The sequence below is a fragment of the Homo sapiens genome, chromosome 17, assembly GCF_000001405.40.
Source record: "Homo sapiens chromosome 17, GRCh38.p14 Primary Assembly".
In the NCBI taxonomy this organism is placed as follows: Eukaryota; Metazoa; Chordata; class Mammalia; order Primates; family Hominidae; genus Homo; species Homo sapiens.
The window spans coordinates 56154777-56171653 of NC_000017.11; the positions used below are offsets into that span (position 1 = coordinate 56154777).

Consider the following 16877-nt stretch of genomic DNA (forward strand, 5'->3'; position numbering starts at 1 on the left):
GCTCCATTCATGGTTGTAGAATTGAATTGAATGAACAGTGTGGGGTATGATTACCATTTGTTCCATGAAGTGTAGAGCTAGGACTAGTCTTGTGGTCAGAAGACTTAGGCTCTAGGCTCAGGTCTGACACTAATTAGTGGCAGAACTTCGACCATACTATTTCAGTTCTCTAACACTCAGTTTCTTCATCCATGAAGTGACAGAGTTTAAACGAGAACAGTGTTTTCCCAACAAAAGTAGTTATCTAAAGCCTTCATGCCCCCCTCAACCCTGGGGGATAGGAGGGTTTGGGAGAGGGAGGCCCGTCTGGTCAAGAACAGCTGCTGCAAAAAGGAACATGGCAGACAGAGGAGGAAGTAGAGCAAAAAGTGGCTCAGAGACTGGAAGCTGGAAAATGCTGGACCTTAGAGGACTCCTCAGGTCCCTTGTAACTCTGACATTTATTCAGAGTCATGAGACTTATCTCTCCCAGTTTTGTGTCACCTCTCCTGTATTAGGTACTTTTGAAGATGACACAAAGCAGTACTGTCATTTGTTCTGATATAGGCAAGCAAGCTACCTTTCTTCCATGAGACAAGGCTTCTCACTGCTGAGAGGTCTGAATCTCTGCCCTTGGAATGTGCCAAGCAGCTGGTCCTAAGCCAGCCACGCTCTGTCTCTTCATTCCAATATAGTCTTTCATTTATTCGACAATCAACAGGTAATTATTGAAAGCCAATAACTTTCCTTTTTTCTGGATAGCGTGGTCAGGAAGGTTCTCTTTGAGGAGGTGACAGTTAAGCTGAGGCACCAATTAAGTGAAGGAATAAGCTGTGCTTACAGTGGGAGAATAGCACTGGCTTGAGTCTGAGGACCCCCGTAAGTATGAGGCTCTTGATTTGGGGAGTCAGCTTGGCATGTCTTAAGGCAAAGCAAGGTGCCTGGGGCAGAAACAGAGTGAAGCAGAGAGGAGAGGTCAGAAGGTTGGAGTGAGATGACACAGATCACAGGGGCCTTGTAGGTCATGATAGGGACCAATGGGAAGCCATTGGATAAATTTTTACATAGAAATAATTATATCTGATCACTCCAGCAAATGCGCAGAGGATAGTGTTCTATAGATGATATCTGCAAAGTGGTTGGTTAGAGTGAAGGGCTTGGAAACTAAGCAGCCTACGTGGGAAGTCACATGGTGTCTGGGAAACTTGGATGTGGTTGGATAGGCCTGGATTTGAATCCTGATCTTGAGGCTGACCTATTGTGTAATTTGGGCAAGTTATTTAACTTCCCTCTTCTCCATTTCCTCATCTCTCTCTCACTCTTTTTTTTTTTTTTTTTCCTTGAGATAGAGTCTCACTCTGTCACCCAGGCTGGAGTGCAGTGGTGCAATCTTGGCTCACTACAACCTCCACCTCCAGAGTTCAAGCAATTCTCATGCCTCAACCTCTCGAGTAGTTGGGACTACAGGCATGCACCAACACTCCAGGCTAATTTTTTTGTTGTTGTATTTTTAGTAGAGACAGGGTTTCACTATGTTGGCCAGACTTGTCTCAAACTCCTGGCCTCAAGTGGTCCACCCACCTTGGCCTCCCAAAGTGCTGGGATTGCAGGTGTGAGCCACCACGCCCAGCCTGTTTCCTCACCTCTTAAAGAGGGACCACATTATCTACCTCAATGAGTTGTGAAGATGAAAGCAGAGAGATTACATATGTTATCTCAAAGCAGCTGCTTAAAATGATAGTGTTATTGTCCAAACTAATCCCATGACCTTTGCACTATGGGCCACAGATGAGCAAGACAACTGGAAACGTAAGATGCATGGTGGGTTTCATATATTATCCTCTTTATACCTTGCTCCCTTTGGGAACGTGGGAGGTGGAAAAGGAAGGAGTAAGGTGACTTGTGCCAAGTCTTGCAGCTGGTTAAGGTCAGGGCTGTGTCTAGGGGCCAGGTTCTTTGTTCCTGCCTCATGTTCTTTCTTTTACGCTTAGAGTTAGCAAACTACAGCCCCACAGGGCAATCCTAGCTTGCCCTCTGTTTTTATAAATAATGTTTTATTTGAACACAGCCATGCTCACTCATTTATAGACTATCTGTGGCTGCTTTCACACCAGGGCAGCAGAGTTGATTAGTTACAACAAAGACAGTGTAGCCCCAAAAAGCCAAAATATTTACTTGCCAGAACTTTACAGAAAAAGTTTGCCAGCCCCCCATCTACACCATTCTTCTCCCTTAATTGGCATGGCTTTATTGTATTTAGCTTAGATATTACCAAATAGGAAAGGCTGGCCTCTCTAGGTCTCCAAAACAGTGGGATTCAGAGGTTCTTTTGAGGAGAGCACTGTACTGGTAGAATATTGCAGTGAGAGATCTCAGGCCACTGGGAGCCAGCAGAAACACACTGGTCACCTGGCAGGGGACAGCAAAGGGAGAGGATGGGGACTCTGGGCATGGTACCTGGGTAGAGAAGAAGGGAATCCCAAATACTTGCTCTTAACTATTTCAGACCTCAGAGACAGCTATCTAAAACAGGTGAGGAGGAATGTAGAGGGCTCAGGAAATGAGCAATGCAGCAGCTTTATCTGACCACCACAACTTGAATGTGCACTGCTGAGTGGGTCTCTCTGGGACACACCTATCAGGGATTAGCTGGACCTCAGGGCTGCTCATCACTTTATACCCTCGGATGACCATCATTAGCACACTGGGAAACAATGCTTGCTTATTCCCAGAGACCACAGTTCAGATGCAAATGGATCTTCCTGGTGACTCCTCCTTCCTCTCTCGAGACTTTAGGAGTATGTGTGGACTATGGCGTCTTACCAGGGACTATTTCCCTGCCTGGCACTCAAGAAGCTCACAGCTTGGCTTCAGGTGTTTGGATTTCCAAGTTCCCATTGAGGCATTTAAATAGGCTCTCCTACATGGACTCCACTTCCTTTAAACCTACTGATGCATTCAGTCTTGACAAGTGATTACTTACCTACCTCAAGGTTTTAATCTAGGGCTTGAGGGTACATTTGTAGGTGTAAATCTATAGGTCAGAAAGCAGTGGAGGCTTCACTTGATTGGATACGTGGAATCCGAATTTTAGCTTTACCGGTACCTGTTCCTCTCCACTCCCGTTTTCAGGCTTATTGCCTTAAGCAGTGGAAACTGGGTTACACAGTTCTTCAACTCCAGGTAATATAAATATAGTGCCATGTATTTCTTGGCACTCATAACTTTCCAGCCAGCCTACATGGAGAACACCCCAGCTTTCAGGAATGCTAAATAATCCGCCAGATGCATCTGCCATGGTGTTTCAGGCTCATTAGGCTCCTCCCACTGATCCAATGAACAGATGTGCTAATTTTTCACTTGCTGGGAATGCTTCAGCCATTTGAACACCATGGACTCGGGGTTGGATCAGTCACCCAGTGCCCTAACACTCAAGCTAATTCACAGGCTGAGCAACTCCCCTCACATACACCCCAGTGGTTATCTTGCCTAATTCCTAGAAGTTGGTCAGTAACTGAGTTCAAGTGGCATGACAATCCAGTTCCAACATGGGCTCATCCTCCCAACCCAAGACCTTTTTAAAAAGAAAGGGAAGAAGAAAAGCAATCTTAGCCTCCACAATGATTCCCTTCCATTTGCCTTCTTCCATCCTGGTGCTTAGATGAGGTTACGGCCCTAGCAGAAATGAAATGAAATGAAACTGTAAGAAAAAGTCAGCAAATCTAAAACACTGCTGCCTGTTATCAGTGCTAGCAGCCTTCATTAAGCCACTGGGGGCTTGGACAAAGCAAGTGGAGCTAGAACAGCCTCTGCTTTCTTGGAATGTACCATCAAAATAAGAAACTGCTGAAATGAATTGAGCAAGCAGATTCAAGGGGGTAAAGACAGACAACAACACAGCATGTGGGGAGGGAGGGGATGTTATAGAGGAGCCTATGCTGAAAATAAATGATTTTTTTATAAGTGTGGTTAACTTTACTGAGGCTAAAATTGCTAAACACCGCATGTATTTTCCCCCCTAAAATAAAAGCTTTGGGGAATTTTGATCTGCCTCACATGAAAAGCTACAGAAAAGGAAGGTATGTGTGAAAGCTTTTAAAATTATTACCATATTTCAAGTAGGATAATTATCAGGAATACTTGATGCCATCAGAAGTAAACTAATATAGAATTGCTTTATTTACAGCAATTTAGTCATTTGTGTTGCCCCATTAACAAGATTCCCTAGCATTCTTATTGATAGAAAATATTTACCACCATCTAGGAATGGTCTAGGCCAAAAAAAAAAAAAAAAAAAAAAGCAGAAGAAGAAGAAAGAAGAAGAGGAAGAGGAGGAGGAGGAAGAAGAAGTAGAAGAAGAGGAAGAAATGGGCCAGTTTTGTTGAATTCTGTCTAGTGTGAAAACTTCAGCTGTCTCCTGAATGAAAGTCATCATTCTGCATTTAATCAATATCCAGAAAATGATATTCCATGTGAAGTGCGACATTTTGTTTTGTGTTTACTTGGGATTGGAACCAGCTGATTGACTGAACAGGCTACAGTGCTGCCCTTATGAATCAGCACTTGAGTCTGTAATGACCTAATTTCATAATTTAGAATTGAACATCTATCACAGGCTCTGCCCTGTCTCTAATTTGCCTTTTATTTCAGCATATCACAGTTAGCCTGAGCAGATAGTACTTCTGTGAGTTCTGAACATTTCTTCAGCAACTCTGAAATAAATATGAGATTTATAGCATTATCTTTGTCCAACCAGCATATATTTCCCCAGATATAATTTTGTTCCCATTTTATAAGATGTTGACAAGTAATAACTGCTAAGTGTTTTTATGCAATGTGATTAAAGCTAGTAGTACCTGACAGTGTCCATTGGAGACACACTCTAACCTCTACCCTCCCCCTTTCCAAGACACACGTATTAATAACTCTTTAGCACCAGTAGTTACTGTTTTTCTTGAACATCGTCAGTCTTGCAGTCTGATTAAATGCTTTTGCATTTGAGGTTCGGGTTGTATTTTTGTTTGTTGGACAGAAAGATAGAGGGGCAGAGAGAAATGGGGCACTGTCAGCTTTCCTGCATGTTGTTAGAGCAGGGATAGTAATGGAAATAGCATTTTAAAATTATAGGATATAACCAAGGGGGCCAGGGCGGGGCAGGGGATAGGAGTAATTAGAGGATTTGACCAGGGGTGGGGGCAGGGCAGGAGGGCAGGGCAGAGAGATGGGAGGGGTGGGCCATCTGGTGTTAATCTCCTGCTGTGTGTTTGCAGGGCAAAATAGTCAGGGTACTTTGTCAAGGTACAGTCTGCTTTTGCAGACACAGATGGAGCAAAAGGGAGATTAATACATGTGGTTCTAACCACCTTTCATATCTTTACAGCTAAACATTATTTATAGAAATCAATTAGTCCTCTGTCTCTGCAATTTTATTATGAGGCTCTGTCCAAGTTTCTGGCAAGCTCTTTAAGAGGATGATTGATGGTAAACTTTCAGAATGAATAAAAAATGAACCCTCCCCTAGGAATTGGTGTAGTGGAGAGAAAGGTAAATGATAAAAATTACAAACTCTGCAAGTTTCTAGGAAAGTAATGTAGGATCAGTGTGGTCCTTGTTACACAGTTTTTCCTTATGGCTAACTTTCTTTTCTCTTTCTCTTCCTTTCTTTCTTTTTTCTTTTTTCTTTCTTTTTCTTTATTTTCCACTACATTCAGCGGTCTGTTTGCTATGGAAACTTTAGGAGAGCTTGATGCCTACAACTGAACTTGTGGGAAAGTAAAGGTTTATTCATTTGCCAAGCTAGTAAATGCCACTTTGATTACTGATGCTCATAAGAGATAAAGAGTTCCAGGAAAAAAATGGAACAGAGCTCTCATGTTTTGTCTTATGGAAACTTTTATAAGAGATGGGAGCTGCCGATTGCTTCCATTAAATTAGTCTAGGAGCCAAGTAATGGTAAGTATGAAATCCCATTGTAATGAATCCCGTGGAAGATGCCTATTGATTTATTCTGAAATTCCAGTCTTGGTAGAGACTGCTGCCAAAGCTCACACCCTCCAGGCTCAGAAATAAAACAGTAATGATACCTTAGAGGTGAAGAAGGAATGATCAAATAAATCAAAGTTCTAAACCCAGGAGAAGACAAGAGACAGTGGCACATAGTGCACAGGTTCTAATGCTGTTGAACCTTGGGGTGTGAAGTTGTTCTGTTTTGATAACTATTTTGAAAAAACCAGAGGGCTCTTTTGGCCTCTAATACTTGAGATGGTGGTGATGCCAAAGGTCAAATAGAATTAGAGGAGATTTGTATGCCACTTTAAGAACTATAAAGGTTGCTGGAGAGTTTCCTAGTCTCATTCAACCTCGGTTTCCTCCTCTGTAAAATAAAGATTGTAATAGTATCGACCTCAGAGTTTTGCTGTAAGGATTAAATGAGATTATGCATTAAATTGCTTAGCATAGTATAAATACAGCAAATTCTATCGTGGTAGTATCATTAGGGTTAACAGGATTCAGAATAACTTTTCTCATTGTCTTAAGGTTTGGCATTTACTATAGAACTTGTTCTTGTTTACTAATTGAGAAATGTACCTGAAGGGGTCCTAGTAACTGCGTTCAGGGAAGATAGTCATTATTTCCATTTCGTATCCCACTCTGTATTACTTTGATATGAAACTCGTACACAGTAGGTACTCAATAAATACTTCCTGATTTAAAAATTCTAGGTTTAAATGAAATTTGCTTGAGCTGCTGATACAAACTTATACAGGCTGTATATAATGCAATTTGTTGATATATGAAATAACTAATTTCCAAATTTCTGTAATTCCCCACATTACTCAGAACATCTTTTTGTTTGATGAAATCAGCTAACATAATGTGTGACACGTATATGCTTAATAAACATTTATTGAATGATGAATTATTGCATAAACCCTATAGAGGATTAAAAGAGACCTAGACAAGGAAAAGATTTTACATTAAAAAAAATTAACTTTTCTCTTAGATTTCAGTAAAAAAAAAAAATTCATGAATTGAATTAGAAATATAATTGCTTGCAAGCTATAGAAAATGTGTCTTCCTAACTTAAAAGAAAATAATTTGTAGAAGATTTGGGACAGTTCTCAGGGTCTATGGGAATGCTGGACAACCATGCTTGCCAAAATGCAGGATGCAGGCAGCAACACAGATGTGAGAGCAGAAACTTTACCAGCTTCACTGATCAGCACCATGAGTAAGTTTCTGTTGTTATTTTCATCCTAGTTCCACTTCAAAGTCAAAATCCCAGAAAAGAGTCTGATTGGCCTAGCTTGGGTCACATGTCCACCCCACCCCCAAGTGTAGTCAGGGCAGGGGGTCTTATTTAGAGTCTCACCAAGAATACATAAAACTAAGGAGAGGTAGTTCTCCCCTACCTAAAAGAAGTCAGGATTCTGTAACCAAATTTAAAATGTCCACATTATAAACTTAATAATATCTATACATAATAAGTATGCATCTATGTTTATTTGCTTAGGGCCGCCTCACAAACTACCATAGACTGAGTGGCTTCAGCAACCGAAATTTATTGTCTCTCAGTTCTGGAGGCTGGAAGCCCAAGATCAAGGTGTCAAGAGGGTTGGTTTCTTCTGAGGACTATGAGGGAAGGGTCTGTTTTAAGCTCTTCTTCTGGCTTATAGATGGCCATCCTGTCGTTGGGTCTTCGTGTGGTCCTTCTTCCATACATATCTGTCCACATTTCCTCTTGTTATAAGGACACAGTCATATTGGAGTAGGGTCCACTTTAATGACTTTGTTTTTTAACTTAAGTACTTCTTTAAAGACCCTATCTCCAAATAGAATTATATTCTGAAGTACTGGGGTGTGGAAATTCAACATATGGATTTGGGTGAGGGAACAAAATTTAGGCTGTAACTGCATGTTGTAAACACAAATGAGTGGAAATATCAATTAGCAAACACCTATTTTATCTATAACACTTTTAGTAAAAATGGAGTAATCAGCCAGGCGCAGTGACTCACGCCTGTAATCCCAGCACTCTGAGAGACTGAGGCGGGTGGATCACCTGAGGTCAGGAGTTTGAGACCAGCCTAGCCAATATGGTGAAACCCTGTCTCTACTAAAGTACACAAATTAGCCAGGCATGCTGGCAGGCGCCTGTAATCCCAGCTACTTACGAAGCTGAGGCAGGAGAAGAGCTTGAACCCTGGAGGCAGAGGTTGCAGTGAGCCGAGATCGCGCCACTGCACTCCAGCCTGGGTGACGAGAGTGAGACTCCATCTCAAAAAAAAAAAGAAAAAAAGAAAAAAAAAAGAGTAATCACTTAGTAAAGTCTACAGAGTTATTTAACATTCCAAACTTGCTGGTTGAGCTCACCAGAACAGAGATAAACAGGTTTTTCTCCCCCAGCCCGTTCTTTCTCTTTTAAACCCATACTTGAACCTTAAGAAATGAAAGTTGGTAAAACCCTTTCTAACCGAGGTGCCAGTTTTGCCTATAACATTGTTCACAGAGATTTTTCTAAGAGCAGAGCCAAGCAGAAATGACTCATTATTACCTCCACTACGCATACAGATTTTCATTTGGACACTAGCCACTGTTTAAACTTGACACTGTCCAGCCTCGAGCAATACATGAAGCAAGTAATAGTCATGTAGCGGTGCAGAAAGCCCTGGCTGGCTCCTGGGCTATCTAGCTTGCTTCCTAAAACTTCCAGCTCCCCTGGTTTATAATTCTGTGATTCACATTTTCTCAGCACACATACCTGTGGGCTTCTTCCATGACCCATGCCGACTTTCATACTTCCATACCTATGTTTCCTTGGAAAGATGTGCCCTTGGCAACAGATTTCTACTGACCAAGGAACTGAGAGGTAGCTTACTCCTGAAAGTTTAGAGGTAGTTTATGCTGTTGACATCTTTGTAGGGGGAAGAGTAGCACAGCAGAGGCCTGCCCATCAATGGGAACTCATCCATTTAGCTCTACCTAATAGTGTTTGACTTCTTTTTCCTTCCCTTCCAATGCCTGTGAATATTAATCCATCAGACTTAGAAGACAATCTGAACAAACACACAAGCTACATGACTGAAGGTGCCAACTCCCATCTATGAGGGAGAAAGCATCTAGACACGCAGAACAGTTTTGGTTTATTACTCTTTCCTCAGTGTAGGCGTAATGTGATGTGTTTTGTGTGGTGTGTGTATTTTGGTGTTTGTACACATCATCATGGAATTTGGGTAAATCTGCATCAGCAATAGCAGGTGTGACTTTGGTGTAAAAAGTAATCCCCCATGTGAGTCAAACAGTAAAAATGTGGACCCCCAAGGCCTCTCATGATCTGTCTTCCATCCATATCTCCAGTCTTGTATTTTATTCCCCTCAACTCTGGCCACATACTCCACTCACCTTGCTTTTCCACCCTTCTGTGCCTTTGGATCTGCTGCTCCCTTGGCCCAGAAAGACCTCCGTTGCATTCCACCCTCCTCTACACCTAGATGACTTCTACTCATGTGTTACATTTCAGCCTAGATGCCAGATCCTCTGGGAATACTCTGCCCATCTCCCTACTCCTTGGTCTCAGTCAGATGCCCTTCCTCAACACGCCATAGTTCGCTGCCCATCTCTACTGGATCTGTTCTCATGTTGTACCCTAATTCATTGTGAGTTTGTCTGTTTCTATCGAGACTCTGTGCTGCTTGAGGGTGGGGACTGTCTATCTCACCTCTTATTCTCCAGCCCGTAGCACAGTAGCTGGCACATGATTAATGTTTACTGGCTAGATCAATGATTTAATGAAGAAATGAATTAATTAAGTGAAAAAAAGATTTAGAGACACAGCTTTCTTAATATCAACAATCTGGAAGTTCTGGAAGCCTCTTTATTTGAAAATAGCAAAGTCTTTTTAACACAGTCAAATGCCCCCAAGATTCCAAGTTGAAAATTGTCTGTGACCTGTAGATTATTCTTGGGGCCTCTTATCATAAAGTTCAGCCAGTTTCTCAGGATAATGCATCAATTTGTTTCTCAATAGAAATCTGTTCTGTCAGTTGAAAATACTTGATGGTGATAACTATTGGACAAGCCACACTGGAAAATAAAATCCAGTTCAGACTGCCAAAATTATAACCTACGAAGAAGAAATGGTAGTATACACAAAATGCTCATTGTTATGGTGTAGTGAAAAGTACACTGGATTTAGAGCCAAAAGGCATCAAACCTGGTCCCCATCATTTGCTAGTTAGGTGGCACTGGACAACTTAGTTAATGTTTCAGAGCCCACCTAATTTGCTTTTCATCCTGTAAAATAGGTTCACTCCAGTTGCCTTATGAACTTTAAGCTCTGTGTCAGTATCATGGAATGAAAATTGATATTGCTTGAGTAACTGCTACGTGCCTTTCATTCTGTTAAATGTTTTAAAGTTGAGTAAATCCAAATGCAGATTCCTTTAGGGTCACGTAGGACCTGTTTCTTGCTATACCATCCTCTATCTAGCTCATGGCTTACCAATTACTTTTTTTTTAAGAAAATATTTCATAATCACCCATCGAGTCCGTGTTCCATGCTATTATACTTGCTATTACATAGACTGCTATTCTATATTACACAAGACCACTATTAACTAGGCCACTCACTATTCTAAGCAGGATTTTATTTAAATGAGATAGGGTATGCTTTATGTCTCATTTCCTTGTCAAGTGAAGTAGATCTGCCAAAAGGATTCAAATAAATGTTGTCTAGGTAACATGTTCTACATACCCAAATTTCTCAGAGTTCTAGTGGAATTTATAAAATGTCTACACCAATAGTCAGCACCACACACCCTCTTGTTGCCTCTGAATCGGCCACGTGGGATGCTTGGCGTCATATAGACCAAACGTTCAGATGTTGGACTCATTTTTTTTTTAGTTTTCATATGGGTGTTTGGGACTCAGAGAAACAATCAACTTTAGCCTGGAATACAGGATCCAAGGATTGTTGAAACATGGGATTAGTCTGGGTTTTCTGGAGGAAAATGTTCTTTTCAACATCACTTTCCAGAACAGGGATCTGATTCTGTTTATGAACAACAGTGCCAGTGTTGTTACTAACAACAAGAATTGTTCCTCGTCTGTTGAAATCACACTCATCCATCCTTTTTACCTCTAGTGCCCCAATTCAGGTCCTAGTCCATGAGTCCTAATTCTCCTTGGGAATTTACCTAACCCTTCCCTGCCTCTGTTTTCCACATTTCAGTCTGCCTACCATACTCTCACCATCATTTCAATGCAATCTCCCTGCTGAAAAACTTGCAGAGCTTCCCTCTCACCTACCAATAGTTCAAATGCACTAGATCTTCCAAAATCTGGTGCCTAGTGTGAAGAAAAAATGCATAAAAAAAGTAATCAGGTGGTCTTTGTTCTAGTTCCAGTTATGCTACAATGTAACCATGTGACCTTGGAAGAGCTACCTTCCCTCTCTAGGTTGTAGTTACCTTTGAAGAGTTGCTTTTCCTCCCTAGATCTCAGTTTTCGTGAATGTGAAATGAATGAAGTGATTGGACAAGATCAGAGATGCCAGATGAATGACATTCAGTCACCACTACTTTCCTATAGTGTCCTTGGAATTCATCATTAATTGATCTTTGGCTTTTTCCCACTGAGCGCTAATAAGCTTCAAAATCATCCATGCCGTCACTTCCAACAGACCAGTTAACTTTTGAAATCAAAGCCCTTTACCTCCCTCAATGGGATGATCTCTGAGGTTGCTTCCTGCTCTAACATTCCACAATTCTACAGTCTCTTTCCATCTTAACCACCTACTATTTCTAACGTGAAGCCCATACTGCAGCCAACCGCATTTTGAACAGTTCCTCTAAATGCATTTTGAACATTTTAGGCCACTGGAATGGCCTAAAATGCTTTCAGTCACAGTTTTCAGTCAAAATCTGACCCACCCTACAAAGCTGAGGTGAGTTCCACTCTCCCTTGAAGCTGGACATGACCATGCCCTTCACTCCTGAATCCCCATAGTATTTTTTTGTTTAGTTATAACATTTATTGATGACAAACCCTATACCCCCTCTCTGAGCTTTTTGATTGCTGTATTGAATATTTGTGTAGCTTTCTTTGCCTTCCATTAGATTATAAACTCCTGAAATTTAAAATCAGACAACCTATGTTCAAAGTCCAGTTCTTCCCATTAGTTGTCATGAGATAAATCATTGAATCTCTTTAATTATTGGATCAGCCATCACTATATACCCAGCCCCTAGTGCTGTGCCTGGCCTAGCTTAGAAAATCAATAATGACTTGTTTAACAGAAGGAAGAAAGGAAGAAATGGAGATAAAGAGAGAAATTTACTAAGATCTACCTCATGAGCTTAGTGTGGAAGTTAAATAAATATACATATACACATAAATATTATATGTTAAACATGCTATATAAACATATATCATGTATACATATATGTTACATATATATACATTCATATGTGTGTGCATAGATGTGTGTGTATATATGTATGTGTGTGTATATATATATACATATATATATATACACACACATACATATATACACACACACACACATATATATATATATATATATATATGTAATTGAAAACCTTGGCTCAAATGTTGAAAATGTCTAAGTTACTATCAATACTAATAATACAATAATAAGGGATAAAATACTTATTAAATCCAATTGTATGCCAAGGACTTCACATAATTATGAAAGCTGGCATGGTGTGGTAAAGCAGTGCAAACTTTGGAGCCCAATTAAATCTGGGTTTGTAGCCCCACTTTTCTGCCTTAGATGACTTTGGGTGAGTTACCTGACTCCTGAATACCTTCATTGTGTATATTCAAATGTACTACACTATAGTTTAGTAACACCTCCAAAATCTCAGTGGTTTAGCATGACAAAAGTTTCCCACTCGTACTACATATCCATTGCAGGCAAGCAGGAAGCTCTGCACCATGTAGTCACTCAGGGACCTAGGCTGATGGAGGCTTCACCACCTTACAACTATGTCATCTGGATCACGTGGAAACTTCCAGTGCTACAGCAGGGGAAGAGGGAGAGAGAGTGTAAAGGCTCTCACTTAAGCAATTAATGGCCAACACAGAAGTGACCTATGTCACTTTTAGTCATAGACCCAACCTCAGTGGGCCTGGAAAATGCAGGCTTCCACATACTCAGAAAGAGAGGGGAACCAGATGTCAGTGACCACTAGAAATGTCTGATGAATAGGCAGGCGTGGTGGCTCACACCTGTAATGCCAGCACTTTGGGAGGCAAAGGCGGGCAGATCACTTGAGGCCAGGAATTTGAGACCGGCCTGACCAGCATGGCAAAACCCCATCTCTACTAAAAATACAAAAATTAGCCAGGCATGGTGGTGCATGCCTGTAGTCCCAGCTACTCTGGAGGCTGAGGCACAATAATTGCTTGAACCCGTGAAGCAGAGGTTGCAGTGAGAGGAGATCCTGCCAGCCTGGAAGACAGAGTGAGACTCTGTCACAAAAAAAAAAAAAAAAAGGCTGATGAGGATAATAATGACTAGTGTGACTACTGTGTAGGACTCTTAGGAGAATGAAATGTAATAACCTCATCAGGCAGATAGGACAGGACTTCAGCAACTGTTGGTGTTTTTCCTCTTTTTTTCCTAATGAATTGGGACAAGTTGTATATGTATTTATTATTCCTTTTTCATTTCAAACTCAAGTGTTTGCACATATTACTCAGTAAATATTCACTAAATAATTTAAATAAGAAATTTGCAATTGTTTTTCATAGGCTATTTTAAATTCACAGGAAATGTATTTTTGTGGTTATAATCAATTGCAAGACCAACTTACCATTTTGGATAATTGTCATATCTAGAATATCGATAGACATCGTAAGCTCTTAGCTTTGTTTTTTCTTGTTTAGTTTTGGTTTAGTTCGTTTGTTTTCACAAACGCTTTTAGAATTCACACAACTTATTGATAAGCCTATATTTCATTATTATTATGAGGCATCTTTTTAGCATGATGATGCTGGTTTCATATAGGTGCTAATGAATCCCAACATCACCCTAATTGGAACAGTTACTTTAGAGGGGTAGAGGCTATTTGGAAAGGGAGGTTGAGGAGTGAATGGATAAGTGGAGACAGTAGGCTTAGACCATTGCTTCTAGAATTTTGACTAGAGATCACTGCCTTTGCTGAGATGTGGTTTCAAAGGAGTCTTGTTTTGTTTTCATTTTAATATGGAGGGAACCGAGCCTGCTTGAATACTGTGAGGAATGATCCAGAAGGCAGGGGGAGTTTGGAGATGTAACAGAAAGCGGGGAAAACAATGGTCTTTAGAGAGCATCAAAGAGGCATATCCAGAAATCATCTGAAGGCCTGGCCCTGGACCAGAGAAGGGGCATGTTCTCCTTTGAAGCTAAAGGAGAGGCGCAGAGGAAGTGTGCAGAGGCAGGGAGATGTGTAGCCCTGGCAGGAAAAATTTAATTTCCATTAGAGAACTTCTAATTCCGTTTAAAATTATTATCATTATTATTTTTTTTTTCAGAGACATCTCACTCAGTTGCCCAGGCTAGGGTGCAGTGGCACAATCATAGCTCACTATAACCCTGAACTCCTGGGCTGAAGCAATCCTCCTACCTCAGCTTCCCAAGTAGCTGGAACTACAGGAACACCGCCACATCCAGCTAATTTTTTAATGTTTTATTGAGACAAAGTCTCACTATGTTGTCCAGGCTGGTTTCCAACTTTTGGCCTCAAGTGATCCTTTCACTTCAGCCTCCCAAAATGCTGGATTATAGGCATGAGCAACGAAGCCCAGCCTTCTAATATTTTTATGAAGTAGTACATCCACCAAGTGAGAAGGAAAGGGATGGAGGGTAGCAGGATGAGTGGGAGATTTAAGAAAGGCAGAAAAGTAAGATGGGCATTGATCAGAGTGGCAGAACAGGCTTCCTAGAGATCCCAGGAGACAGCGCCAAGCCATCCTGAGGGCTTAGTGTAGAGATGTTAATAACACATCATGGCAAGCTGCCCTGCTACTCCTGTTCTGCCCTGTTGGCAGCCTCAGTGACAAACCCTAAAGGTGCTCCTGCTGGGGAGGCAGCAGGCAAGAGCAAGTCCCCTAAGGCTGCTCTTTGTAATCCTAATCAAGTGGGTACATTGACTTTGGTCAATCTGATGATCTATCCAGAAGCTTAGACTGCAGAGATTGGGTTAACAGACAGAGGCCCTGATCAGGTCGATCTGGTAAATCCACATGGATCGGTGGCAGCTCTGCTGAAGAAAAAAGACCTTGCAAGCCCCCATCCCAGGTCCTGAAAGTGTCCCTTGTTCTAAGACTGAGGGATTCATTCACCTTCTTTGCTCCATCTTGAAAAACAAATATGGAAGAATATTCAAAAAATGACCTTGGCGTCAAAGAAAATGATTAGTGAAGGCACCCATTCACTCAGTAAGTCAACATTTATTGAGCTCCTACTGTATTCCTCCTCCAGGAGGAAGAAGGAAGGCTCCCTGCCCCTTCAGGGATACCTGCCCAGAGAGTAAGATAGACACCTAAGCCAATAATTACCAATGCAAATACGGGAGTACGTATAAGAGCTATAAGAACTCAGAGAGGGAGCGACAGAGTCTGCAGGAGGCAGACAGGTTGCTGGAGCTAAGTGGTTCATCAGGAAGTATCGGGATGTGTTTAATGCCAATCTTCATTAAATGTATTAAAATAACCTAACAGGTCGGGTGCAGTGGCTCATGCCTGTAATCCCAGCACCTTGGGAGGCCAAGGTGGGTGGATCATCTGAGGTCAGGGGTTCAAGACCAGCCTGGCCAACATGGTGAAACCCCATGTCTACTAAAAATACAAAAATTAGCCATGCATGGTGGCGCGTGCCCATAGTCTCAGCCACTTGGGAGGCTGAGGCAGGAGAATCTCTTGAACCTGGGAGGCCGAGGTTGCAGTGAGCCAAAATCACACCACTGCACTCCACCCTGGGCTACAGGGTGAGACTCTGTCAAGAAAAAATTTTTTATATATATATATATATATATATATATATATATACACACACACACACACACACACACACATATACACACATATATATATGTATAGTCCCCATATTTATATATCTAGTTACCTGCCCTTACTACCACCGCCATACACACATACATCCCTATTTTCTCAAGTTGATGTAAGTCTCTGGAATAAGAACAACTTTTAAACTTATCTTGGGGGAGCTGGAAGGAAATGGAGAGCAGGCATGGTAAAGCTTTCTCAGGACCAGGTGTGGCAGGGGCTGATCCTCAAGAAAGTTATTTGCAGGAGTTAGAAACTCAATGAGAGTCTCTGAAGGAAGCAGGGACCGGCACTGGCGGGGAAATGCATAACATGGGAAATGGCCTCAGGGCTTCACTAGGAACCCTCCATTTGAAGGTGGAAGTACCAGGAAGCATTGTCTTATTTCCATCTCCCCTGGCCTTTTGTACTCACTCTCCCTTTTGAAGGAAGTGAGGGACTAGTGCTGGGGAGACCGGAGCCAGTGGTTTTGATTCATGGCAGGGAAGGAACAATGTACAGACGGGAATCCTGTCTCCAGGATTAATTAGCCTGGTGGATGGGCCAGGAGCCTGTGTTTCTCCCACTGACCTAAGCAGCACCTTCTATACCCCAGGAGGCTCTCTGCAAACCAACGGTCTACAGCAATGGTTAAAACAGCAGTGTGATGAGCAGCCAAGGGCATTCCAAGAAGTTGTGTTGTTTATCCCCAAACTACCTCTCCATTTGTGTGAATGAGTGGCATGATTCATTTTCCATAAACAGCGTGGGTGAACAGAAGGGGAAAAAAATCCAAAGGCTGGGGACTGGCATTTCACTTTGTAGAAACTGCCAAGGAAAAGTTTTCTTCA

General features: G+C 41.6%; 1 protein-coding gene across 8 annotated transcripts in view, besides 1 other annotated feature; it reads left to right on the forward strand.

Annotated features, from left to right (window-relative positions):
• The window catches only part of ANKFN1 (ankyrin repeat and fibronectin type III domain containing 1), a 470940-nt gene that overhangs the window by 108700 nt on the left and 345363 nt on the right, over positions 1 to 16877 (forward strand). The gene's annotated exons all lie outside the window — the stretch shown is intronic.
• Positions 2252 to 2458: a silencer, noted in NCBI's record as "fragment chr17:54234389-54234595 (GRCh37/hg19 assembly coordinates)". NCBI's record gives its function as "represses an EF-1alpha promoter that drives an FKBP-Casp9 reporter gene in an ReSE screen in K562 erythroleukemia cells {active_cell/tissue: K562}" and the evidence as "EXISTENCE:reporter gene assay evidence [ECO:0000049][PMID:32094911]".